General features: G+C 47.1%; 1 protein-coding gene across 4 annotated transcripts in view, besides 1 other annotated feature; it reads right to left on the reverse strand.

Moving 5' to 3' along the window:
• MYH11 (myosin heavy chain 11) overlaps positions 1 to 18,512 on the reverse strand; it is a 153,894-nt gene that overhangs the window by 90,451 nt on the left and 44,931 nt on the right. For all 4 annotated transcript variants that reach the window (NM_002474.3, NM_022844.3, NM_001040114.2 and 1 more), the window contains exon 4: positions 5,075 to 5,102. In NM_002474.3, the coding sequence (NP_002465.1) occupies positions 5,075 to 5,102 (28 nt within the window). The remainder of the gene's footprint in view (positions 1 to 5,074; positions 5,103 to 18,512) is intronic.
• Positions 13,560 to 14,375: an enhancer, noted in NCBI's record as "H3K27ac-H3K4me1 hESC enhancer chr16:15901002-15901817 (GRCh37/hg19 assembly coordinates)". NCBI's record gives its function as "activates a minimal SCP1, AML or CMV promoter by ChIP-STARR-seq in primed H9 embryonic stem cells {active_cell/tissue: H9 hESC(primed)}" and the evidence as "EXISTENCE:reporter gene assay evidence [ECO:0000049][PMID:30033119]".

Raw genomic sequence — 18,512 nt, forward strand, 5'->3', positions numbered from 1 at the left:
CCCAGCCAATTTTCAGTTTCTTTTCTTTTCTTTTTTTTTTTTTTTTTTTTTTGAGACAGAGTCTCGCTCTGTCACCCAGGCTGGAGTGCACTGGCGTGATCTCAGCTCACTGCAAGCTCCGCCCCCCAGGTTCACGCCATTCTCCTGCCTCAGCCTCCTGAATAGCTGGGACTACAGGCACCCGCCACCATGCCCGGCTAATTTTTTTGTATTTTTTTTAGTAGAGATGGGGTTTCACCGTGTTAGCCAGGATGGTCTCGAACTCCTGACCTCGTGATCCACCCGCCTCGGCCTCCCAAAGTGCTGGGATTACAGGCGTGAGCCACGGTGCGTGGCCAATTTTCAGTTTCTTTTCTTTTCTTTTTTTTTTTTTTTTGAGACAGAGTCTCGCTCTGTCACCCAGGCTGGAGTGCAGTGGTGCGATCTCTGCTAACTGCAAGCCCCGCCCCCCAGGTTCACACCATTCTCCTGCCTCAGCCTCCTGAATAGCTGGGACTACAGGCACCCGCCACCATGCCCAGCTAATTTTTTTGTATTTTTTTAGTAGAGATGGGGTTTCACCGTGTTAGCCAGGATGGTCTCGAACTCCTGACCTCGTGATCCGCCCGCCTCGGCCTCCCAAAGTGCTGGGATTACAGGCCTGAGCCACAGTGCGCGGCCAATTTTCAGTTTCTTAACTGCATAACCAAACAGTTGGCTCCAGCCTGGCTTCTCTTAAGCACCAACTACGCGTAAAAGCTCAGCCCTGCTGTCAACTTGTAGGTCCTTCAAGTCACTTTGGCTGAATTTCACAACAAGCAAAATAAAATTGAATACAGAGACTGAAGATGTTGGTGGTTCTGGGCTGACTGGATGCATTTGCAAATAAAAGTCTGATCGTTTTGGGATTTCCTTCCTAACAATGGCTAAGGCCTCCTTCTCCAGCACTGGCTGTGTGTGGGCAGTGTGCCAAGTCCTTGCTAACGCTGCATTCCAGGAGATGGAGATACACAATAGCCAAGTAAACAAATAATCAAGATAGTTCGTGGTGGAGATATCATTGCTACATCTGGGTGATGTGACTGAGAAGATCGAGGGGAAGGGAGGAGAGGGGAGGCTGTGGATGGGGAAGCCAGGGAGTTGCTGAGCCTTGAAAGTTACAAGAGAGCCCTGTGGGAAGGATGGAGGGAAGGGTGGGCCAGGCAGGGCAAACAGTATGGACAGAGGTCCAAGGGAGGGAAATGCTGGGCCCAGGTATGAGACAGAATGGCTCCCAGCATGGCTGGAGGGCCACAACAGAGGAGGACAGCAGGAAGTGAAGAGGGAAGAGCAGATCACACTCAGTCTTCCAAGTCACAGTAAGGAATCTGAGTTTTATTCTCATGGGTGCAGGAAACCATTTCACGAGGGGAACGGGACTTTAGAACCAGTGTGGGGAGAATCAGAACTGCAGGATGGGCTGGGCGAAGTGGCTCATGCCTGTAATCCCAGCACTTTGGGAGGCTGACTGAGGTGGGTGGATCACCTGAGATCAGGAGTTTGAGACCAGGCTGGCCAACATGGAGAAAACCCATCTCTATTAACAATACAAAAATTAGCTGGGCATGATGGCATAATACTCGGGAAGCTGAGGCAGGAGAATTGCTTGAACCCAGGAGGCGGGGGTTGCAGTGAGCCAAGATCGCACCACTGCACTCCAGCCTGGGCAACAGAGTGAGACTCTGTCTCAACAAAAAAATCAACAACAACAACAAACTGCAGGATGGGCCAGGCTCAGCGGCTCATGCCTGTAATCCCAGCACTTGGGAGGCCGAGGCTCCCCGGGTCACCTGAGGTCAGGAGTTCGAGACCAGCCTGACCAACATGACAAAACCCTGTCTCTACTAAAAATACAAAATTAGCCAGGCATGGTGGTACATGCCTGTTATCCCAGCTACTCGGGAGGCTGAGGCAGGAGAATCACTTGAACCTGGGAGGTGGAGGTTGCTGTGAGCCAAGATCACGCCATTGCACTCTAGCCTGGGCAATGAGAGCAAAACTCCATCTCAAAAACAAACAAACAAACAAACAAACAAACTGCAAGATGGATACTGGATTGCAGGAAGGATTTTTAAAAAATAGTGAGCACTTTCACTACAATAGCAGCTGATCCTTACAAAGTGCTCACCATGGGGCAGTGGCCTGTTTCTCAGTTCTTCACATGTAGTGACTCATTTCATCCTTCCAACAACCCAATGGGGTGCTTATTGTTCCCATTTTACAGATGGGGAAACTGAGGCTCAGAGAAGTGAACTGACTTATTTCCTGGAGCATACAACTAACTAGACGATGATGGGGCCAGAATTCAAACCCAAGGGGTTAGGTTCTGGAATCCACACTTTATGACAGCATGCTAATGAATATTTATTCAATGAATAATGAGTGAATATTCTTATAATGTATATTTATTAAAGGAAGGAAGCAAGCAAGCAATGGGAGCAGGGAGCTTAAGAGACTGCTACAGAGGCCCTGGTGAGAGGTGACGGGACCCTGAACTAGGAAGAGGCGGTGGAGTCAGAGGAATGGACAGAGATGAGAAATATTTCAGCATCATACCGTCCAAGGCAGGAACCGCTATCTAAATTAACTAAAATCTTAAAAATTCAGTTCTGCAATATACTTGCCACTTTTTAAGAGCTCAATTAAGTGAACTTTTAAGTGAACTTTGTGCTCATCACAAAGTTCTTTTGGATAGCACCGTTTTAGATGAAACAGCACCTGCTGATGGCATGGGTGCTGGAAATGAGAGCAGGGTGGCCTCTTCTTCATCTTCACAGCCTCTCCATAAGCTCAGCTCAGAGAGGTCAAGTGACCCGTGCATAGCTACATAGCTAGGAAGCCATCTGAAAGTCCTACTCTTTCCTGCACCTCTCTGTTACCACACTTAATTCATTCACTCAACAGAGGGCAGTTGAGCTACACTATTTTGGTTCCTGGGGAGATGACATGTGGCTCACACATGGGTTTGGCTCCTAGGGGATCAAATGCCTCTGTGGCTAGCTGAAAAACAGCCCCCACAAGAATGTCCATGGCCTATCCTCAGAATCTGTGAATATGTTTGCTTGAGATGAGGAGACTGTCTTGGATCATCTAGGTGGGGCTAATATAACCACAAAGGTACTGGGCCTTATAAGAGAGAGGTAGGGGGACCAGAGAAAGAGATTTGAAGATACCATGCTGCAGGATTTAAAGATGGAGGAAGAGACCATGAGCCAAGGAATGCAGGTGACCCCTAGAAGCCAGAAAACTAGGAAACCAAGTCGGCAGGTTGTTTTAGCATTTATATCCTCATAGCTAGGTAGCATTATATCTCTAGATCCAGACTATTCATTGTCAAACATCAAATGTGTACATCCTACCATGGAATATGAGAATTCAGTTCCCATCTAATCCTCTTCCCTTTCCCCACAGAGCCAAGTCCATCACAGGGAGTTATTCTGGTTAGATAAATACTCCAAACTTGCACAGCTGGGCTCCTTAGTCCAATGTGATTACTTCTCCTTCCATCCCAACTTTTGTTTTTTCCTGGAGTTTATAATTGCCTTTGTTTTATTGTTTCCAGGTTTTCTATCTATATCAACCCCAAACTTATTAATTGTTTCAATCTTCTCTCAATACAGTTCATTGCCATCCTACCATCCATCACCATCTGAAATTCTAATTACTAGTTTTTAATTGTCCTTCCAGATAATTTCATGCAAATAGGAAACATATGCACGTCCATGCAATCCTGCTCTTTTTAAAGACACACACGGTTACATTATGCATATGCTGGTTTGCCCCTGTGTTTTCCACTCAACGGTATTATCTATAAAGAGCGTTCTCTCTCAGCATAAATAGATCAGCCTCACTCTTTGTAGTGGCTACCTGGAAATGCTATATTTTATTTAAATAACCTCTGTTGATTATAGCTTTAGTTGCTTCCAGACCTTCAAATATATATATATATAAATATAAATATATTAAATATAATACATATTATATATTATGTAAATATATATATGCACAGTCTATCCTCATTATTTATATATTCTATATTTTCAAATTCACCGACCTGCTGAAAGTTATTTGTAACCCCAAAATCAATATTCATGGCACTTTTGTAGTCATTTGTGAACATGTGCAGAGTAAGGAAAATTCGATTCCCCCAATGCACACGTTCCCAGCTCAGGTTGAACAGGGGAATGCTCTACCTTCTAGTTTCAACTCTCATACTGTAAACAAGTGTCCTTTCTGTAGTGTATTTAGTGCCACCTTTTTTTGTATTTTTGTGGCTTTTTGTTAGTTATTTTGCAGTTTAAAATGTCCCCTCAGATGTGCTCCCTTCGGCAGCACACATACAAAAATGTCCCCAGCATAGTGCTCAAGTGTTGGCTCATGTTTCCAAGCACAATAAAGTTGTGATACCCATTATGTAATAAATACACATCAGATAAACTTCATCCAGGCATCAGCCACAGAGCTGCTGGCTGTGAGTTCAATGTCAATGAATCAACAATATATATTAATATATGTTACTTGCATATAAATACAATAGTGAAAACTCTCTCAATGATTCTAAAATTGAGTTACTATCTTCTGCCTATGTACCTAGGTCTTCAAAGAAACAGTGATACCAATCACCAAATATGGCACTGATGTGTTTGTGGCTTGATAAATGTGAAATACTAAAGTGACAGTTTAACATCTTCCCTATCAACACAGATGGCTGTTATGCAATTAGATAAGATTCTGCATATAAAATCTTTAGTTCAAGTCCTGGCACAGAGTACATGTTCAATAAATGCTAGTTTTTTAGAAGGAGGAGAGGTATGGAACCAAATGATAGCAGGTGTCATTAAGAGTTTAAGTTTGCCTGCCTCCGCAGAAGACCATATATCACAAATGTTTAGTGAGCATCTACATGGTGCCAGGTATAAAGAGAGGCACTTGGAACCATGAACAAATCAAAGATCTCTGCACTCATGGATCTTTTCTTTCATAGGTTGGATCTCGACTACAGATTAAAAAAAAAAAAAAACAAAAAAAAAACAGAAGAAAAAGCAGTTCCACTTACGTGCATAGAATGGACTGGTCCTCCCGATCTGCAAACAGAAAGAAGAAAAAAGAGCCATGAATTAAAATGAGCTCTGAGCTAAGGGTCTGGACTTGGCTCCTCCCAGGGCCCTCCCATTCTAAAGCTTCTCCATGCTGGCCTCATTGGAAGTGACAACAGGTCAGCTGGGCTCATTGCCCAGGCTACAGGGGCCACGACCAAAGCCAAAAGGGCAGCCCCAAAGTCCCAGAGGCAGCCCCAGAAAGATGCTGGAGCCTGACTGATCCAGGAGTCATTAGCATCCAGCCACATCAGCTCTGGAGGTGTCCCGGGAGGCCCACCCCACCCAGATTAGGTTAGGGACCAAACGCAGATGTTGGATCTATACAGATTGGGGTCCCCCTTAGCCACTTCTCCGCTCTGTGGCCTTGGGCAAATATTCTTAAACTCCATGCCTCAGTTCCTTCATCTGTAATATAGTATTGTGCACATTTGTGTTTTTTTGTAAATCCAGCATCCATTTCCTCTTCTTCCAGAAGCATCCTGTGGTCCTTGAGGTTTCCCCCATCACCCCTACCGTCATGTACAGTCTTAGTGGGACTGCCTCATAAGTACCTTCAACAAAGAGGTAAGAATGTGTTCCAGGCTGCATTGGTCAGACTCTCTGGCCTAAAACTCCAAGCTCAGTCAAGGACAGGGAAGCACAGCAGGTGGACAGAGCCCTGAGGCAGACTTCCTTTCTGCCCCTGGGCCCAAGCAGCCCAGTTTCTGTCATTTACCTAGCCTGATTCCTAGTGTTCCCACTGCAACTGTGAGCTCCTCCATACTCCCCTACAAATCCCTTTCCTCTACTAGATGACAGAGTCAGTCTCTCTTGTTTACCACCAGAGAAACCCAAAAGATACAGAGGTCATCAAAGAACTAGATGTGATTAAGCAGACATTATCCATCACCTTCTACTCTTAAAGAGGCCTCTGAGGTGGAGCCAGGCTCTGAAGACCCATTTCCTTCCCAAAGAGAGATCTGAGAACAGTTACCAATACGTTCAATGGTCACCTAACAATGTAGAAATCCCAGCATCATATCTGCTGGTAGACAATGCCACAGTGGCAAGCATTTCTTAAATCCACTCCCTGGCTTCAGTCCTACTAGTTCAGTGCTCAGCTCTCACAAGCTTCATTTCATCAAAAATCTCCTAGGCTTGGTTTTACATTGTATCTCTAGTACTGGCACATAGATGGTAGGTGCTGAATTATGCTTGTTAGATGGATGGATTGAGGGATGGATGAGTAGATGGATGGGAAGATGAGTGGACGGAAGGAAGGAAGAAAGGAAGGAAGGGTAGATGGGTGAATGGAAGGGTGGGTAGATGGGTAGGTAGATGGATGGGTGGGTGGGTGGATGAATAGACAGATGGACGGGAGGGTGGATAAGCAGATGAGTAGGTGAGTAGGTGGGTGGGTGGATGGGCAGATGGGTGGGAAAATGGATGGATAGATGAGTAGATGGATGGGAGGATGGAAGAAGAGGTGGATGGGCAAGTGAGTGGAAGGAAGGAAGAAAGGAAAGAAGGAAGGAAGAAAGGATGGGTGGATGGAAGAATGGATGGATAGGTAAATGGACGGGAGGATAAATGGATGGGAGGCTGGGTGAATAGGCAGACAGATGGCTGGATGGAAGGATGGATAGATGGACAGGTAGAGAGACAGGAAGACAAATGGATGAGTGGGTGGGTGGGTAGGTGGACGAATAGATGGATGGAAAGAAGGAAGGATGGATGGATAGATAGGAAGAAAGAAAGAAGAAAGGAGGGAAGGGTGTGTAGATGGGTAGATGGGTGGGTATATAGCTGGTTGGACGGATGGTTGGACGGAGGAGGGAAGGATGAGTGAGTGGATGAGAGAGTGGATGGGTGGGTGAATGGGAGGGAGGACAGAGTGTATAGGCCGGTAAATGAGTTGGATGGATGGATGGATGGATGGATGGATGGATGGATGGATGGATGGGAATATGAATGGGAGGATGGATGGGACTGAAGAAGGCAAGGTGAAAGAGATGACTCTTTCTTCCATCTGTAATCTTAAGAGAGAACTGATTGGATGTGGGCACGTTCCTCAGATTCTATGCCCAACTCCAATCAGTTCTCTCTCTCTTCCCTCGGATTATAGATGGATGTTTGGGTGGCCTGGTTGAACGAAATCCTCAAGACAAAAGGCCTAAAGACTAGTCAGCTCTGGGGTTTCAATTCTGGTGTGTTTATATAATGGCACATTTAAAAATAGGCAGGCCGGGCGCAGTGGCTCATGCCTGTAATCTCACCACTTTGGGAGGCCAAGGAGGGTGGATCACTTGAGTTCAGGAGTTCCAGACCAGCCTGGCTAACATGGTGAAACCCCATCTCCACTAAAAATACAAAAATTAGTTGGGTGTCATGGCACACGCTTGTAATCCCAGCTACTCAGAAGGCTGAGGCAGGAAAATTGCTTGAACTCAGGAGGCGGACGTTGCAGTGAGCCGAGATCGTGCCACTGCATGCCAGGCTGGGCAACAGAGCAAGACTCTGTTTCAAAAACAAATAAGATATAAATACATAAATAAAATAGGCAGCCATTGAAAAGAACCAGGCAGAGCTTTGTGGATGGACACAGAAAAATATCCAAAATATATTAAGCTAAAAATAAAAGATGAGGTAGCATAGTGTTATACCTTTTGTGTTTTAAAAAGACAGATATATAGGTAGGATGCAGTGGTTCATGCCTGTAATCTCAACACTTTGGGAGGCTGAGATGGGAGGATCACTTGAGGCCAGGAGTTCCAGACCAGCCTGGACAACATAGCAAGACCCAGTCTCTACAAAAAAAAATTTTTTTTTAATTAGCTATGTGTGATAGACATACCCCTTGTCCCAGCTACTTGGGAGGCTGAGACAGTAGGATCCCTTGAGCCAAGGAGTTCAAGGTTGCAGTGAGCTGTGATTACACCACTGCACTCCAGCCTGGGCAATGGAGTGAGACCCTATCTCTAAAAACAGACCTGGGATGGGTGCGGTGGCTCACACTTGTAATCCCAGCACTTCGGAAGGCTGAGGCGGGCAGATCACTTGAGGTCAGGAGTTCAAGACCAGCCTGGCCAACATGGTGAAACGCTGTCTCTACTAAAAATACAAAAATTAGCTGGGCATGGTAGCATGCACCTGTAATCCAAGGTACTCCGGAGGCTGAGGCAGGAGAATCACTTCAACCCAGGAGGTGGAGGTTGCAGTGAGGTGAGATCATGCCACTACACTCCAGCCTGGGCAACAGAGCGAGACTCCAAAAACAAAACAAAACAAACAAAAAAAACCAACAAACAGGCCTGAGCCTGAAGTATTGAGAAAAGGGACAGGAGGAAGACCTACTTTCACCCATTCTACTTCTATCCTGGTTATGTTTGTGCTATGAACACATACAATCTTTTCCTCATCCCACCAAAAATGGTCAATAGAAAAAGAGTCGGTATTGTTCTTTATGAAACCATCATGACCACAAAGCTAAAAAAAGACAGAAAAGAAAGAGCCACCGCATTAGGATCCCACTAACAGCTCCGATCTCCCGAGCACTCACTGCACTGCAGGCGTATGCTGAACTTCTGTGTTGAAGTGACCCACTGAATTCTCTCAGCAGCTCCTGGGGTGGGCACTGGCATTGCCTCCATTTTACAAATAAGGAGAGTGAGGTTCAGAAGTGAGGCAACTTGCCCAAGGTCACTAGGGTGGGTTGAACTGTGACTCCCAAAAGCTATGTTCACTCAGAACCTCAGACTGCGATGTTATTGACTAACCAATTGATTGAGATGGGGTCTCACTTTGTCGCCCAGGTGGGTGTACAGTGGCGTGATCTCAGCTCACTGCAACCTCAACCTCCCAGGCTCAAGCAATCCTCCCTCTTCGGCCTCCCCTGTAGCTGGGACTATAGGCACATGCCAGCATGCCCGGCTAATTTTTGTATTTTTTGTAGAGATTGGGTCTTGCTATGTTGCCCAGGCTGGTTTCACACTCTTGGGCTCAAGTGACCCACCTGCCTCAGCCTCCCAAAGTGCTGGGATTACAGGCGTGAGCCACTGTATCCCACCTGTGATTTTATTTAGAATAAGGGTCTTGCAGATGTAATTAAGGGAAGGATGTTGAGATGAGGTCATCCTGGCTTGGAGTGAGACCTAAATCAATGGTGTCCCTATTTATAAGAGAAAGGAGGCCGGGCGTGGTGGCTCACACCTGTAATCCCAGCACGTGGGTGGATCACCTGAGGTCAGGAGTTCGAGACCAGCCTGGGCAACATGGTGAAACCCATCTCTACTAAAAATACAAAAAATTAGCCAGGCATGGCGGCAGGCACCTGTAGTCCCAGCTACTCGGGAGGCTAAGGCAGGAGAATCACTTGAACCCAGGAGGTGGAGGTTGCAGTGAGTTGAGATTTTGCCACTGCACTCCAGCCTGGGCAACAGAGCAAGACCCCATCTCAAAGAAAAAAAAAGCAGGAAAAAAGCAATCAAACTTTAATCTCTCCATTATACTCTGGAGACAGACAGATACCCGTGCCTTTAGCTTCCACCCAGGGGGAGAAATTCACTCGAGGACAGAGCAAAATGGGAAACCAGTTTAATTTTTTTTTTTTTTCTGAAATGGAGTCTCGCTCTGTCACCCAGGCTGGAGTGCAGTGGCTCGATCTTGGCTCACTGCAACCTCTGCCTCCTGGTTTCAAGCAATTCTTCCACCTCGGCCCCCCGAGTAGCTGGGACTACAGGTGCGTGCCACCACGCCTGGCTAATTTTTCTATTTTTTGTAGAGACGGGGTTTCACCATGTTGGCCAGGCTGGTCTCGAACTCCTGACCTCAGGTGATCCGCCCGCCTCAGCCTCCCAAAGTACTAAAAAGTGATTTTTTAAAAGAGGGTGAAGGATAGAAGAACCAGGTACCCTGTGATTAGAACCCAGACAGAGAGAACCTCCTGGGACCGGCCCAGACAACCTCCACTATCTTAAGGAAAGATTTTGAGATGGACAGACAGATGGGCTGTGTTGATCCACTACTTCAGGGAGAGAGGCAGGCTTTCCTGGCAGCCTTGTGAATCCTAGGCCCAGAGCAGGAGAGATTTATAGGCTCAGATGCTCACAGGGCCCCCAGGAGAGGGAGCGGGCTCCAGGAGAAGGCCTGGGAGCTGCCAGCGCGGCTCCGAGCTGGGGGCTGCTGGGAGACCTCTGGCCTGACGTTCCCATCAAAAACACACCACTTCCAGGCGTGGGAAGCTTGCAGGGTGCTGGTTACGAGCAGAAGGACTCCATGTGGGTGCTGTCTGCCAACCCGTGTGGAGCACAGGGAACTCTGAGATCCTGGAAATTTTTATCTGATTCCTTCCCCAAGCCTGAGCTTGTGTTGGACTCAAAAGCAGTGTTCTCCACCGTACAAAGCAGTTTCACTCCCTCCTTGCTTTGCACAAGTGATTTCTTCTGCCCAGTGCACCCACCACCACTTCTTCTCTGGCCTAATCCATTCTCTCTCTCTCTCTCTTTTTTCCTTCCATTGAGGTAAAATTTACACTACATAAAAAGAACCATTTTAAAGTGAATAATTCAAGCCAGGTGCGGTGGCTTATGCCTGTAATCCCAGCACTTTGGGAGGCCGACACAGCTGGATCTCCTAAAGTCGGGAGTTTGAGACCAACACGGCAAAACCCCGTCTCTACCAAAAATACAAAAATTAGCTGGGCGCGGTGGTGCACACCTGTAATCCCAGCTACTCAGGAGGCTGAGGCAGGAGAATCGCGTGAACCAGGGAGGTGGAGTTTGCAGTGAGCTGAGATCGCGCCACTGCACTCCAGCCTGGGTGACAGAGGGAGACTCCATCTCAAAAAATAGTAATAAAGATAAAAAAATAACTAAAGTGCATAATTCAGGAGCATTTAGTACATTCACAATGTTACGTAACTACCACCTTTATCTAGTTCTAAAATATTCTGTCACCCCCAAATGAAACCCTCTACCCGTTAAGCAGCCACTCCCCCATAAGCCCTTGCAACCGCCAATTTGCTTTCTGTCTCTATGGTCTTACCTATTCTAGATATTTTTGCATAAATGGAATTATAACATGTGCGGCCTTTCATGTCTGACTTCTTTCACTCAGCATGTGGCTGAAGTTCATCCATGTTGTAGCAGGTCCCAGACTTTATGCCTATTTGTGGCTGAGTCATATCACATTGTACGGATGGATCATATTTTGTTTATCCATTCAACAGTTGACGGACATTTGGGTTATTTCCACCTTTTGGCTATTCTGCATAGTGCTGCTATGAACATTCCTGTACAAGTTTTAGTTTGAGTACCTTTTCAATTCTTCGGGTACATACCCTAATCTGTATCTGAAACATCGTCTTGGGAGTCAACTCTTCTATGATACCTTCTCTAACTCTGCACTTTTCTAGAGCTGAGTTGGAGACCTTTCCACTTGACCTCCTACCTGCAGGATGGCCATGGACCGTGGTGCATGTTGTACACTGCATAACTCTATGGAGAAACTATTTGCATTGGTCATTTATTGTATTGCATTGTGTATTTATTGTAATAATCTTTCAGCAGATGGAGGAAAAGTGCTTTGAGAAAACGGTGCCTTTCTCTAATATAAACATGAGTGTCACATGGCCTAGTGGTTCCCATGGTCCACAGGTTCTCTCCATTTTAGTAATTATCATCATTGTGATCCTTACTTAATAAATGTCTCAAAACATTCTGGCGGAAAAAGGTACAGATGATATGGAATGATAATAGGCCATCTATCCATGATATGGCATTCAGAGTTTTTCTTGTTTTTCTTTTCCATATTGGTAAAAATTATGGACTTTATTCATAATATCCAAAAAATAGAAACAACCAAATGTTCATCAATGGGTAGATGGATAAACAAAATGTGGTCTACCCAGACAGTGGGATAGTATTCAGCCATGAAAAGAAAGGATGTTATGGCCGGCGGCCATGGCTCATGCCTGAAATTCCAGCACTTTGGGAAGCTGAGGCAGGTGGATTGCTTGAGCCCGGGAGTCCGAAACCAGCCTGGGCAACATGGTGAAACCCTATCTCTACAAAAAAAAATGCAAACATTAGCTGGGCATAGTGGCACAATCCCTGTGGTCTCAGCTACTCAAGAGGCTGAGGTGGGACAATGGCTTGAGCCCAGGAGGTGGAGGTTGTAGTAAGCCACGACTGCACCACGGTACTCCAGCTGGGGTGACAGAGACAGACCCTGTCTTAAAAAATATATAAATAGTATGAATCCATGATACAACGTGGATGAACCTTGACAACATTATACTAAGTGAAAGAAGCTAGCCGGCTGGGCACGGTGGCTCACACCTGTAATCCCAGCACTTTGGGAGGCTGAGGTGGGCAGATCACGAGGTCAGGAGTTCAAGACCAGCCTGGCCAATACAGTGAAACCCCGTCTCTACTAAAAATACAAAAATTAGCCAGGTGTGGTGGCACGTGCCTATAGTCCCAGCTACTCGGGAGGCTGAGGCAGGAGAATCACTTGAACCCAGGAGGCAGAGTTTGTGGTGAGCCGAGACCACATCACTGCACTCCAGCCCGGGCGAGTGCAGTGAGACACTCTGTCTCAAAAAAAAAAAAAAAAAAAAAAAAAAAAAAAAAAAAGAAGCCAGCCACAAAAGGTCACATATGATTCCATTTATATGAAATGTCCAGAATAGGCAAATCCATAGAGACAGAAAGTAGATTTGTGAATTCGTGGCTGCCAGGAGCTGCGGGTAGGAATATGGAGTGACAAAAAAATGTGCACAAGATTTCTTTGGGGGATGATAGAAATATAAAATTATATTGCAGCAATGGCTGCATAACCATGTAAATTATGAGTGAATTTAGACAGTTATGCAGACATAGCTGCAATTTTAGGTGTGAACTGTATCCTTAAAATGAATTTATTTAAATTATACCGCATAAACCTTTTTTAAAAATGATGTTCATTTTATACCACCTCTGAATGATTATAAATCTGACTTCTTCCACTTCATGCAGCTCTATTAGGTTTCCAACAATTACAAAATTGTTCATTTTCAATGCTTTTCCCCTGAACCAATGAGCTCCTGAAGGTACAAGGAACAATGCCTGACACACAGTAGGTGCTCAGGAAATGCTTGTTATTTTGAATTGCTCTCTGGCTCAGAGAGGCAACCAAGGTAGAAGCAATGGAAAATGCATATTCACGTGTTCACATATTCATTCAACAAACGAGTCCTGAGCCAGGTACCGAAAGCACAAAAGTCAATAAGATCTGCTTTTTTTTTTCTTTTCTTTTTTAAGAGATGAGGTGTCACTCTGATGCCCAGGCTGAAGTGCAGTAGCACGATCATAGCTAACTGCAGTCTGGAACTCCTGGGCTAACAGATCCTTCCATCTCAGCCTCCTGAGCAGCTGGGACTACAGGTGCATGCCACTACGCCTGGCTAATGGTTTTTTTGTTTTTTGTTTTCATTTTTTTTGTAGAGACAGGGCCTAGTAAGGTAACTTAGTAATATTACCCAGGCTGGTCCCAAACTCCTGGCCTCAAGTGATCCTCCCGCCTTGGCCTCCCAAGTAACTGAAATCACAGGCTCAAGCCAATGCACCGAGCTTCATGACTTGCTTATCCTTGCTTTTGAGAAGTTCATGACCCAGGGTGGGAGTCAGATGGGCAAAGAAATGACCGTAAGAGATGAGCAGTGCTACGATGGATGTGAACCCAAGTGCTATAGACGTCAGGTTTTTTGTTTGTTTGTTTTTTCACACTGACCTGAGCAAGACAGGAAGCCTTCACGGCAGAGGTGACCACTGAACAGCATTAAGAAAAATGTGAAAGAATCTCCTGGGGAGAGGTCGAGGCAGAGCATCCCAAGCAGAGGGCCTGGGACAGAAGCTCCAAAGTGGGCGGGGACACAGTACCGAGCCTCCGTGGAGTCTGGGAAGGCTGGAGCTGGGGGCGGCCGGCCATCATCAGGACCCGCCTGGGGCTGAGCTTCCCAGCCCAGATCCCTGGGGCTCATGTCACCTCACACCCCATCCTTAAACATGCCTCTCTCCCTTCCTCCTCCCCAGACTCCCCACCCAGCCTCGGATGTGTAAGGCCCCAGGCACGTTTCCTGAGAAGATAAAGGGCTTCAGCGGTTCCTCCCCCGCTGTGGGCCTGAGGACTCCCAGGAGGTACCCAGCTCCCCACAGACCAGCTATTTCGGCCCAAGCCCAAACACAAGCTGGTGGATTCTGTCTGGGAAGCCAGAGCACTGTAGGCTGACCATAAAAGGAGAAAACCCAGCGGGGACTGAGCACAGACCCAGGCTCCCTGCGTCTGCCCTTCTTTCTGGTAACAGGCTGCTGGGGGATCCAGTGAGAGGTAATCAAAACCCGTCTCTGCAGGGCCATCAATACCCCTGGGCTAGTAAAGAAGAAAGGTCTCAGCCTCCATTGCCTGCAGAAAAGTGGCTCTCTACCTAATGCCCCGCACGGAGGCAGATGCCAGAGGTTCTGGATCTTCTGTGGTGTGACTGTGAAGGTGGCCACTGCATGGCCCTTGACGGTGGGTCCTCGGCAGCTGACTGCTAATGCCTGTTGAACTTGTCCTGTCCATGCACCGTGTCCCTACACACTGACCGAATCACCCTTGTAACAACTGGAGTAAGCACAGTCATCATCCTCACGGGACAAGTGAGGAAACTGAGGCACAAAGTAATAGCCGGGGCAGAGCTGGGAGGTGAACCCAGCTCCAGAGCCCATGACCTAAGCCATTCTGTAAGTGAGGGCCCTTCTCTTTCTCCAGCCTTCATCTCCCCACTCTACTCTCCCGGCAGAGTTGGTTAGGATGACATGCTGAGTAAGAAGAGATACTTTGAGAGCCTTTGCTGCAACCCAACAGGTGTTTTCCAAACCTACAGGAAGCCCTGGTATTGTAAAAGCAGAACTGGGCTGGGCATAGGAGCTCATGCCTGTAATCCCAGTGCTTTGGGAGGCTGAGGCAGAAGGATTGCTTGAGGCGAGGAGTTTGAGACTCAAAGCGAGACCCCTATCTCTATGAAAAAAAAATTTTTTTTAATTAGCTGTGGACAGAGGTGTGTGCCTGTAGCCCCAGCTATTTGGAAGGCTGAGGCAGGAAAATTGCTTGAGCCTAGGAGTTCGAGGTTACAGGGAGCTATTATTGTGCCACTGCGCTCTAGCTTGGGTGAAAGAGTGAAACTCTGTCTCAAAAAATATATAATAAATAAAAACATGAAAGCAGAACTGGCCAGTGAAGGGGTGTAGGAGACAGGAAAACCAACGCTCTCCCTCTTGGGCCTCCACTCCTACCTCCTACATTCTCCCCCTTCTCTCTGCTCCAGCCCCAGCAGCCTCATAGAACCTATATCAAGTTCCCTAGCCAAGCCTACACTTCACCTTCCAAGGAAGCCTCCCCTGTCCTCCCAAGGTCCCCAGGGCTACACTTCCCCACTCTCTGGACCTCCTCTACTTAGCAGCTACTTGTGGGATGATTCAATTCGTATTTACACATACGCACAGTAGGCTGTGTCTAGGGCAACATCTAATAATCAATATTGTTAGAATGACCGGGCGTGGTGGATCACATCTGTAATTCCAGCACTTTGGGAGACCGAGGCGGGAGGATTGCTTGAGGCCAGGAGTTCGAGACCAGCCTGGGCAACATAATGAGACCTCATCTCTACAAAAAATCAAAAAATTAGCCAGGCGTGATGATCTGTGCCTGTGGTCCCAGCTACTTGGGAGGCTGAGAGGGGAGGATCACTTGAGCCCAGGAGTTGGAGGCTGGAGTGAGCTATGAGTGTGCCACTCCACTCCAGCCTGGGCAACAGGGCAAGGCCTTGTCTCACAAAAAAATGCTGTTGGATAAAGAAAGGAATGGGGAGCCAGACTGCCCAGAGGCTGGGAGGACACCGAGGGAGGTGGCTGACACATGCAATTTAACAAGGAAGGTGCTGGCCAGGCACTGTGGGTCACGCCTATAATCCCAGCACTTTGGGAGGCCGAGGTAGGTGGATTGCTTGGGCTCAGGAGTTCAAGGCCAGCCTGAACAACATAGCAAAACCTCATCTCTACAAAAAATACAAAAATTAGCCAGTTGTACTGGTGCATGCCTGTATGCAGCTACTCTGGAGGCTGAGGTGGGAGGATCACCTGAGCCTGGAGAGGCTGAGGCTCAGGTGAGCCGAGATCACACCACTACACTCCAGCCTGGGCAACAGAGTGAGACTCTGTCTCAAAAAAGCCCAAAACAAACAAGGAAGGTGTTGCCAAGTGTCAGCTGGGGCTTTTCAGGTTCACTCCCTTAAGTATGTCCCTTTTTCAATTTAATATTTACGGTTTTTGTTTTTGTTTTTGTTTTTTTTTGAGACGGAGTTTTGCTCTTGTTGCCCAGGCTGGAGTGCAGTGGGGCAATCTCGGCTCACTGCAACCTCTACCTCCCAGGTTCAAGCGATTCTCCTGCCTCAGCCTCCCGAGTAGCTGGGATTATAGTCGCCCACCACCATGCCTGGCTAATTTTTTGTATTTTTAGTAGAGATGGGGTTTCACTACATTGGCCAGGCTGGTCTCGAACTCCTGACCTCAGATGATCTGCCTGCCTCTGCCTCCCAAAGTGCTGAGATTACAGGTGTGAACCACTGTGCCTGGCCAATATTTACTATTTTATAACAAATAATTCTCCTTTGCTGTCTCCCTTCCCTGTAATGCACCATGGGTACCAAAAATAAAAATAAAATAAAGATAAAAACGTGAACTTTTCATGATTAGTCAGAGCACCAAACAGACACTCCTAGCACCTCTGTAAAGACTGAGCCAGCCAGACAGAGCCATTCATTCCCACACACAGTCCCCCATCATTCCCAACCGGGCCAGACACATAGCTGACAGCCACTGCAAAACCCACAAGAGACAGAGAAGCATTTGGCTGTACCCCTTCCTGGAGATGTGTTTGTAGCAGCACTGCCTCTGCAGAGAAACAGCTGGGAATTACTTCTTGGCTCCACCCTATCACCTCTGCCCCCAGGGCCCGTTTCCTCACCAGGGAAATCGACAAAAATCCAGACCTTTCAAGGGCATGAAGATGATTGAAAGAGACTGGATTCAGAAAGAGCTTAAAATTGTTTTACCCACAGCACATTTAAGAGCTTGGTAATTGCCGTTAATATCATCTTTATCATCATCATCTAAAACAGTGATCTAGGGAAGAGGTTATAGACAGCAGTGATTCTGAATCGGCAGGACAGGATATTCAACCAAAGATATTTAACCCCTTTCTGATTACAAGGTGTCATGGTCTGAATGCTCATGTCTCCCTCAAATTCATATGCTGGAATCCTTACCCCTAAAGTGATGATATTAGGAGGTGGGGCCTTTGGGAGGTGATGAGATCATGGGGGTTCAATCCTCATTGGGGGAGAGACCCAGAGAGCTAGCAGGTCCCTTCCACCATGTGAGACACAGCGAGAAGGCAGCACTAGGCCCTCACCAGATACCAAGCTTGATCTTGGACTTCCCAGCCTCCAGAACCACGAGAAACAAATATCTGTTTAAAAGCCACCCAGTCTATGGTATTTTGATATAGCAGCCTTAACAGGCTAAGACACAAGGCCTATGCTAGTCCCTTAGCCTTCTGGGGGCCTCAGTTTCCTCTTCCGTTATATGGGGACAAGAATACTACACTATCTATACCACGCTACCCAGGAGGGAAGAGTAACATTCTGAGGGCAGCGAAGCTGGGTCCCCAGGTTTGACTCTCAGTTCTGGGGCCAAGTAGGTGTGCTGAGTTTTCCCCATTGATCAAATGGGGAGGCTGCCACCCACCCTGTGTGGTGCTAGTGAGGGCCGAGCAATGTGGGATTGATGGAGCAGTGAACCCAGGTCCTGACCTATTGCAGGGGCCCTGAGGACATCAGTGCCCTTCCTCTCTCTGCCTCTACTGGGGAGCAGCCTCAGGGGAGTTGGGTGAGCAGGAACCATCCCCAGGGGGCTGCCAATCTCAAGCAGAAGGATACAGCCGAGTGTGGGAACTTGCAAAGTGGAGAAAGTCGTTTGGATCACTCCACCCGCAGAGTTGTCTTAAGCTTAAAGAGGAATTAGCCAAGAGCCCCAAGCTGATAAAGGCTGGCTGTTATTTCTTTTTTTAATCCCCTGAGTGTGGCCATTTGTTGCTAATGAGGTGAGGACAAAACATTACTTGTGGCTATCTTGCATAGGGCAAGTGCAGAGGCTCAGAATGGAATCTTATCTGCTTTCCTGCCCCTCCTACACCCCAGGGACCCATGGAGGGGCTCCAAAGTGGTTCTTGTCTGGAGGGCTTTAATGGCGCTTTTCTCCTATTCATCACGTTCATTTATTGAACTTAGCTCCAGCCTCCTAAGCTTTGAGCTGTCAACACTCTGAGATGAAGACAGTA

Source organism: Homo sapiens, chromosome 16 (assembly GCF_000001405.40).
Source record: "Homo sapiens chromosome 16, GRCh38.p14 Primary Assembly".
NCBI classification, from domain to species: domain Eukaryota; kingdom Metazoa; phylum Chordata; class Mammalia; order Primates; family Hominidae; genus Homo; species Homo sapiens.